Consider the following 9448-nt stretch of genomic DNA (forward strand, 5'->3'; position numbering starts at 1 on the left):
CCGCAGGGCACTTTTTAAAAAACCCTCTGGAAATGTAAAGTGATGGCCAAAATTCTATTACTAGAATTCCACTCAAGAGGAGTACTACTTTTGAAAAGTACTTTATGCCACTCCCTCCCCACCTAAAGGACAAACAGGAAGGCCTTGAGACTGCCTTCTGAAGATGGTGGGCTTGGCTCCTGCAAGCTCCCGAGGTCCTGCCATGAGGCCTGAGCATTTGAGGGCACTTGACATAGTGAAGGGGAGCTGAGGGTCTCCTTCTTCACATCTCTATCACGCATAACTTGGTTTCTTCTTTAGATAAATTATTTTTAGCCTGGGCAACATAGCGAGATCTCATCTCTCATGAAAATAAAAATAAAAAATTAGCCAGGTGTAGTGATACGTGCCTATAGTCCCAGCTCCTCTGGAGGCTGGGGCAGGAGGATCACTTGAGCCCAGGAGTTAAGGCTGCAGTGAGCTATGATCACACCACTGCACTCCAACCTGGGTCAGAGATAAGAATAAAGTCACAGCACTTGTAGCACTGTGGCAAATGCCTTCTCTCCACCCATTTTCCTTACTAGTTTCTTCCCAAACTCAGCTGTCCCCTTTGGGCAGCTCCCGACAGCCACTGTGCAGCCCCTCACACCTCTGACCCACTTCTTCAGTTGTCTCCTGTTCGTCTACTTCCCCTGGGATCCTGAAGATTCTGGATGGCAGGAACGAGCTCTTATTTGACTATTTTCACCCCTGGCCATGTGCTCAGCACATCAGCACGTGCTCGATGGATGTGCAGGTGCACATTTGCTTTCTGTTGTTGGAAAATCTCGAACCTCATTTCTAAAATATCAGTTTTCCCGAGAAAAACCTTAATGACTTGTTTTGGGTTACTTTTTTTTTTTTTTTTTTTGAGACAGCGTCTCGCTCTGTCACCCAGGTTGGATTGCAGTGTTGCCATCTCGGCTCACTGCAAGCTCTGCCTCCCGGGTTCACGCCGTTCTCCTAACTCAGCCTCCCGAGTAGCTGGGACTACAGGCGCCCACCACCACACCCGGCTAATTTTTTGTATTTTTAGTAGAGACGGGGTTTCACCGTGTTAGCCAGGATGGTCTCGATCTCTGACCTCGTGATCTGCCCACCTCGGCCTCTCAAAGTGCTAGGATTACAGGTGTGAGCCACTGCGCCTGGTAGTTTTGGGTTACTTTTGATTCCAAAGGAGATTTCAGAGAACTTTGTGTAAAAAATAAGGTAGGATGGATCTTCCTACAAAGCTCAACTCAACCTAAAAAAAAAGTTCTTGGGTAGTTTTAATTCATTGAAACATCTCAAATTAGCTCTAAAAATCAATGTCCAGCTGATAAATGAAAAGTGTGATGGGTGGCCTCCATCCCATCTCCATATTTAACTCAAAAACAACTTTGAATAAAACATTGCTCTTGGCAGGGTGTGGTGGCTCACACTTGTAATCCCAGCACTTTGGGAGGCCAAGGTGGACAGATTGCTTGAGACCAGGAATCCAAGGCCAGCCCAGGCTAGATGGTGAAAATCTGTCTCTACAAAAAATTAGTTGGGTGTGGCGATGTGCGCCTGTAATCCCAGCTACGTGGGAGGCTGAGATGGGAGGATCGCTTAAGCCAGGAGGAGGAGGTTGCAGTGAGCTGAGATCACACCACTTCACTCCAGCCTGGGCGATGGAGCAAGAGCTTGTCTCAAAAAATAAAAAAAAATAAAAAAAAAAAGACAGAAAAGAAAAAAAATGCTTTTTGATTTTTCAAATGTTAAAGATTCCAGACTAATAGAGCTGATGTTTTCTAATATTTATAGTGATAAATGTTTACAAATAAAACTAATCCATGGAAAACAAGGTACTGTGACAGAAAGGAATTCACAGACTCCAGAGATGCTACCATCACAGGGATAGAGAAGGAAAGCCTGCTTTCTTTTATGATGATGCAGTCCTACAGACATCCAACAAGTCTTAGAGGTTAATATAACAAACCTAGTCTAAAACACGTTGAATTCACTATGAACCACCATCCAGCGCCTCCCCATGATGTCACCACTGTGCAGAATGTCTGTCATGCTTGTACACACCTTTATACTTTGGCTTTATGTGAAAGGTTACTTTATATATTTCTAACCTGTTGTTTGATACTTTGTTTCTGAGCTCTTTCCATGTTGGTGTGCAAAGCTCTCGCTCATTATTTTGTGATTTTATCACAATCTGTTTAACCAGGCTTTTAAAAAAATCAGGATTTAGATATTGTCTTTTATGTTTTTATTTGTTTGGGTTCTTTGCTTGTATTTTCTCCTATCAACAACACCGCAAGGGCCTCTGTTTCACATCTTCTCCTGTGTATGCAAGAAAGTCTTTAGGGGCTGTAACTCGTAGTGAAATTGCTGGGTAGAAGAGAATGTTCCAGTTCAACTGCATTAGGTATTGCCAAGTTACTCTTCAAAATGATTGCTCTAGTGCAGCAGTCCCCAAACTTTTTAGCACCAGGGATCAGTTTTGTGGAAGACAATTCTTCCATGTATGGGGCATTGGAGGGATGGTTTTGAGATGAAACTGTTCCACCTCAGATCACGAGGCATTAGATTATCATAAGGAGCACACAACCTAGATCCCTTGCATGTACAGTTTGCAATAGGGTTCTCACTCCTATGACAATCTAATGCTGCCGCGATCTGACAGGAGGCGGAGCTCGGGTGGTTATGCTGCCTTGCCCGCCGCTCACCTCCTGCTGTGTGGACTGGTTCCTCACCAGAGGTTGGGAGCCTGTGGTCTAGGGTATGCTTCTACCAGCATACATGCTCTCACTGGCACTCATTATTGTCCAGCTTTTACGTTTCTACCAACCTGATGGGTGTGAAGTGGTATTTCTGTGTTTTAATGTGTGTACTCTGATGGATGTGAAGTGGTATTTCTGTGTTTTAATTTGTGTTCCCTGATGGGTGTGAAGTGGTATTTCTGTGTTTTAACGTGTGTACCCTGATGGGTGTGAAGTGGTATTTCTGTGTTTTAATTTGTGTACCCTGATGGGTGTGAAGTGGTATTTCTGTGTTTTAATTTGTGTACCCTGATGGGTGTGAAGTGGTATTTCTGTGTTTTAAGGTGTGTACCCTGATGGGTGTGAGGTGGTATTTCTGCCTTTTAACGTGTGTACCCTGATGGGTGTGAGGTGGTATTTCTGTGTTTTAAGGCGTGTACCCTCATGGGTGTGAGGTGGTATTTCTGTGTTTTAATGTGTGTACCCTGATGGGTGTGAGGTGGTATTTCTGCATTTTAACGTGTGTACCCTGATGGGTGTCAGGTGGTATTTCTGTGTTTTAAGGCGTGTGCCCCGATGGGTGTGAAGTGGTATTTCTGTGTTTTAAGGCGTGTACCCTGATGGGTGTGAAGTGGTATTTCTGCATTTTAACGTGTGTACCCTGATGGGTGTGAGGTGGTATTTCTGCATTTTAACGTGTGTACCCTGATGGGTGTGAAGTGGTATTTCTGTGTTTTAAGGTGTGTACCCTGATGGGTGTGAGGTGGTATTTCTGTGTTTTAAGGCATGTACCCTGATGGGTGTGAAGTGGTATTTCTGTGTTTTAAGGCGTGTACCCTGATGGGTGTGAGGTGGTATTTCTGCATTTTAACGTGTGTACCCTGATGGGTGTGAAGTGGTATTTCTGTGTTTTAAGGTGTGTACCCTGATGGGTGTGAGGTGGTATTTCTGTGTTTTAAGGTGTGTACCCTGATGGGTGTGAAGTGGTATTTCTGTGTTTTAAGGCGTGTACCCTGATGGGTGTGAGGTGGTATTTCTGTGTTTTAATTTGTGTACCCTGATGGGTGTGAAGTGGTATTTCTGTGTTTTAAGGCATGTACCCTGATGGGTGTGAAGTGGTATTTCTGTGTTTTAAGGCGTGTACCCTGATGGGTGTGAGGTGGTATTTCTGTGTTGTAATGTGTGTACCCTGATGGGTGTGAGGTGGTATTTCTGTGTTTTAATTTGTGTACCCTGATGGGTGTGAAGTGGTATTTCTGTGTTTTAAGGCGTGTACCCTGATGGGTGTGAAGTGGTATTTCTGTGTTTTAAGGCGTGTACCCTGATGGGTGTGAGGTGGTATTTCTGTGTTGTAACATGTGTACCCTGATGGGTGTGAGGTGGTATTTCTGTGTTTTAACGTGTGTACCCTGATGGGTGTGAGGTGGTATTTCTGCATTTTAACGTGTGTACCCTGATGGGTGTGAAGTGGTATTTCTGTGTTTTAAGGCGTGTACCCTGATGGGTGTGAAGTGGTATTTCTGTGTTTTAAGGCGTGTACCCTGATGGGTGTGAGGCGGTATTTCTGTGTTGTAATGTGTGTACCCTGATGGGTGTGAGGTGGTATTTCTGTGTTGTGACATGTGTACCCTGATGGGTGTGAGGTGGTATTTCTGTGTTTTAACGTGTGTACCCTGATGGGTGTGAGGTGGTATTTCTGCATTTTAACGTGTGTACCCTGATGGGTGTCAGGTGGTATTTCTGCATTTTAACATGTGTACCCTGATGGGTGTGAGGTGGTATTTCTGTGTTTTAAGGCGTGTACCCTGATGGGTGTGAAGTGGTATTTCTGTGTTTTAAGGCGTGTACCCTGATGGGTGTGAAGTGGTATTTCTGTGTTTTAAGGCATGTACCCTGATGGGTGTGAGGTGGTATTTCTGTGTTGTAACGTGTGTACCCTGATGGGTGTGAGGTGGTATTTCTGTGTTGTAACATGTGTACCCTGATGGGTGTGAAGTGGTATTTCTGTGTTTTAATGTGTGTACCCCGATGGGTGTGAAGTGGTATTTCTGTGTTTTAAGGCGTGTACCCTGATGGGTGTGAGGTGGTATTTCTGCATTTTAACGTGTGTACCCTGATGGGTGTGAGGTGGTATTTCTGCATTTTAACGTGTGTACCCTGATGGGTGTGAGGTGGTATTTCTGTGTTTTAAGGCGTGTACCCCGATGGGTGTGAAGTGGTATTTCTGTGTTTTAAGGTGTGTACCCTGATGGGTGTGAGGTGGTATTTCTGTGTTTTAAGGTGTGTACCCTGATGGGTGTGAAGTGGTATTTCTGTGTTTTAATTTGTGTACCCTGATGGGTGTGAAGTGGTATTTCTGTGTTTTAATTTGTGTACCCTGATGGGTGTGAAGTGGTATTTCTGTGTTGTAACATGTGTACCCTGATGGGTGTGAGGTGGTATTTCTGTGTTTTAATGTGTGTAACCTGATGGGTGTGAGGTGGTATTTCTGTGTTGTAATGTGTGTACCCTGATGGGTGTGAGGTGGTATTTCTGTGTTGTAATATGTGTACCCTGATGGGTGTGAGGTGGTATTTCTGTGTTGTAATGTGTGTACCCTGATGGGTGTGAGGTGGTATTTCTGTGTTGTAATGTGTGTACCCTGATGGGTGTGAGGTGGTATTTCTGTGTTGTAATGTGTGTACCCTGATGGGTGTGAGGTGGTATTTCTGTGTTTTGTGTACCCTGATGGGTGTGAGGTGGTATTTCTGTGTTTTAATGTGTGTACCACTTATACCAAGTGAGGTTTAGCAGCTTCCCATGTAGTTTCCCATGTTGCCATTAAGCATTTGAGTTTTCTCATCTGTAATTTGTATATTCATATTCTTTGCCAATTTTTCTATTGCACTATTTGGGGTTTTAAAAATTCATTAGTGGCTGGGCGTGGTGGCTCACGCCTGTAATCCCAGCACTTTGGGAGGCCAAGGCAGGTGGATCACAAGGCCAGGAGTTCGAGACCAGTCTGGCCAACATAGTGAAACCCCATCTCTGTTAAAAATATGAAAAATTAGCCCGGTGTGGTGGCAGTCACCTGTAATCCCAGCTACTCAGGAGGCTGAGGCAGGAGAATCGCGTGAACCCAGGAGGTGGAGTTCGCAGTGAGCCGAGATCGCGCCATTGCACTCCAGCCTGGGTAACAATAGTGAAACTCCATCTCAAAAAAAAAAAAAGATTCATTAGTAATAGATATCTGATTTGAACATTACGTATTGTACACATGTATCAAAGTATCACATAGACCCCAAGAACATATATAATTATGACATATCAATTAAAAAATATGTATATACATTTTCTGGGTACTAATTATTTGTTAGTCATATGTGTTGCAAATATCTTTTCCCAGTTTACAACTTGCTTTTTTGTATTTAGGTGATATCTTTAGATACAGAGCGGTTTCAGATTTTACTGAGTTCAAATTTATCTATCTCTGCCTTTATGTTGTTTTATGTTATCTTTTTAAAAAAATCCTTCCTTATCTACCAAATTAATGTGACTATACTACTAGGCAGATGTTCATCAGAACATTGATATGTTCTCAGTACCAGTGTAGGTCAAGGTGAGATTTACTCCTGGCTTTCCCAACATACTAGCATTGATTATCTGTCTCATCACTTTGTCTAAAATGTTAACACACTTTTTCTAGCAGCAAAACATTTTTGTAAGTGGATTTAAGTTCAAACAAGATATCTGATATAGAAATGATTTCTTTTTACAGAAGATGATGCTGATGGCCAGATCTTGGAACTGCTCTGGCAAAGAGCTCAATACTGAGGGCTTGGAAATTAGCAACGGCTTTGCTGTGTGCATTTTGATATGGATCACGCTATGGTCCTTGGCCGTCTACGCTGCCCTTGGCCGTCTACGCGGCTATCTTCAGAGTGCTTCCCTCTCTTCTGCCACTCCTGTCGCTGGCTGTTTTTATGTTCACTGCCCCATCATCTCTTTAGCCAATTAAAATCTCCGTCTGGGCAAAGGTAGCTTACACTGCTCTCTCCACTCCCTGTGCTCTGCGGGGAGTGCTACGTGGTAGCTGGGAAGTGAGAAACAAACACTAGGCAAATGCCTTTTGGACGGGACTGTTCAGACTTTGTACTGCTGGCTAATATTTATCTACTGCTCGGAAGCCAGCAGTCCACCTTCCTTTCATTTCCTGCTGGTGAAAATTCCATCTTCTGGGTTGCACAATAAGTTAACCTGATTTTGAAGTCGCAAGGAGTTTTTTGGACCCTAGTCTCTCCTTTCTTGCTCTTCCTTCCCTTCTTCTGAGCCTGGGATCCCCTGGGGAAAGGACATGTGTGGCCGCTGGCTCCTCTCAGGCCACATTCTCCCCCGATCTCACTGCTTAAAAGGCTGGGGACACCCCCCAGCTGCAGCAGACAGTGTCTTGAGCAGGGCCTCCAGCTTGGGCTAAATGCCCGCCCCATGGCCAGTCTCTGAAGACAAGGCAGGGAGAGCAGGCAGGTGATGAGATTCCATCATGTGCTCAGTTGCTTGAGTCATGCCATGCCTGGCCAGCCACAGGGGGCAGGGGTCAGCAGCCCAGCAGTTCCCACTGGCTACATGTGGGGCTGTGAGGGCAGGGGAGGGAGCAGCTCCCCCAAAGAAGGAGAGTGGTTTTCCTCTACTAGATGGACAGAACAATAAATGTTCACCACCCAGGAAATCAGTCCTGGCTCAGACCCTTCTAGGTGGTGTGACCCCAGCCAAGTCCTTTATTCTCAAATGACCCCCAGTTGCCTTACACTTTATAAGGTGGCCTTCCAATTTTGTTTTGTGTTTTAAGAAACAGTATCTTGCTCTGTTGCCCAGCCTAGAGTGCAGTCGTGTGATCATGGCTCAGTATAGCCTCAAACTTCTGGGCTCAAGGAATCCTCCTGCCTCAGCATCTGGATTACCTGGGCTACAGGCCAGCCTAATTCTGAAATCCTGTCATTCTGGCCAGGCACAGTGGTGCATGCTTATGATCTCAGCACTTTGGGAGGCTGAGGTGGAAGGATTGCTTGATCCCAGGAGTTGGAGACCAGCCTGGGTAACACAGTGCAACCTTGTCTGTACAAAAAATTTAAAAATCAGCTGAGTATGGTGGCACATGCCTGTAGTCCCAGCTACTCAGGAGGCTGAGGTGGGAGTATTGCTTGAGCCCAGGAGTTCAAGGCTGCGACGAGCTATGATTGTGTCACTGCACTCCAGCCTGGGCAACAAAGCGAGATCTTGTCTCAACAGAAACAACTGTATAGTACGCTAATTGTGGAGTGGGGATGTCGCTGTGTGCCTTAGGAAGTGTTAATCTCTCCACTTTAAGCTCCAGGCATGTTAGGTGACCACCATGAGGTCGCTTCACATCATAAAAAGCACCCAGGAAATGCTGAGGACACTCATGGAGGCATGGCTTCATGAGGTTTGTCATTAGCCAAAATGAAAAATTAGTTTACTTTTTAAATTATAATAAAAATGGCCAGATTTATTTATTCAACCGTTAATATTTGAGGAATTAAACTCATGGTTATTAGAATGGCAGCACCAGCTTTTGTACATGTCCCTCGCTGGGAGGGGAATTTAACTTCTTTCAATAAGAACAGGTTTTAATAACTCGATCCTGCAGATTCGCTCCATGACTGGGCTGCTCTAACATCAGCTGCCGAGGGCTGTTGGTTGATGCTCAACTGAGACTCCCTGTAGTGGGGAACACTCTTGTATTCACTTTTGTGCCCCGACTGCCCAGCCCCAGGCCTGGAATATCTCAACGTGTGTTTGCTAGGTGAACATCCAATGTTAACGAGAAGCAAATACACTCACCCCCTGGAAGGCAGCCCAAAGGCAGAAGGGACACAGGCTAGTAACTGGTGGTGAGTTGGCATAGGGGGAGCATGGATGTAAGAATAATGAATGTTCAGGCAGTACACACAATTTGGACTCAGAAAAATAAAACAATGTTAGAAAGAAAAAGATGGAAGTTTGAATGTTAGAAGCAAAGGTGTAATATGGACAAATGGTAAAAGATGAGTTATATTCAAAAGCAGATAGATTTAACTTAGAAAGACATTTAACATTCCCATGTTCAGAAGCAATATTTTATTTGCTTTTACACAATCTCAATGCTATTATTAACATTGTGCAGTAATTTTATACAGCTCTCTGCAGCACGCAAAACACTTCTACTGAAGTTATCTCATGTGTGGGCGGCATGAGGCATGAAGAAGGTGTCTGAGATGGGTTTCCTCCACCATCCTCAGTACCACCCTAGGATGTTTTATCTCCCTGCTTTCCATTTGTAAAACAACAAAGGAAGAATGTGAGACACTTGCGGGAGCAGGTAGCTCCCCAAGAGTAAGCCCTGTCTCTAGAGTAAGACTTTAAATATGCTTCTGGAGCATGACCGAAAACAGTATCTCACCAGAATAACACAAATAATGTGTGTGTCACATGACAAGTCATCATTAGCAAAGGGAAAACATTCTTGTTTCATAAGCCAGCATGGTGCATATTTGTACTTAAATGGGACCCTCTTTGAGGAGCAGCTCAGATCCTAAAAGTGAGAATCCGCATGACCATTTCTCTATGGTTTCCATTACTAAACGCATTATTTAATCGACATCTTTAGATCGAAAATCACTCAATTTGTATGATGTATTTTACTCTTACTATGCATTAGG

This window comes from Homo sapiens, chromosome 7, assembly GCF_000001405.40.
Source record: "Homo sapiens chromosome 7, GRCh38.p14 Primary Assembly".
Taxonomy (NCBI): Eukaryota; Metazoa; Chordata; class Mammalia; order Primates; family Hominidae; genus Homo; species Homo sapiens.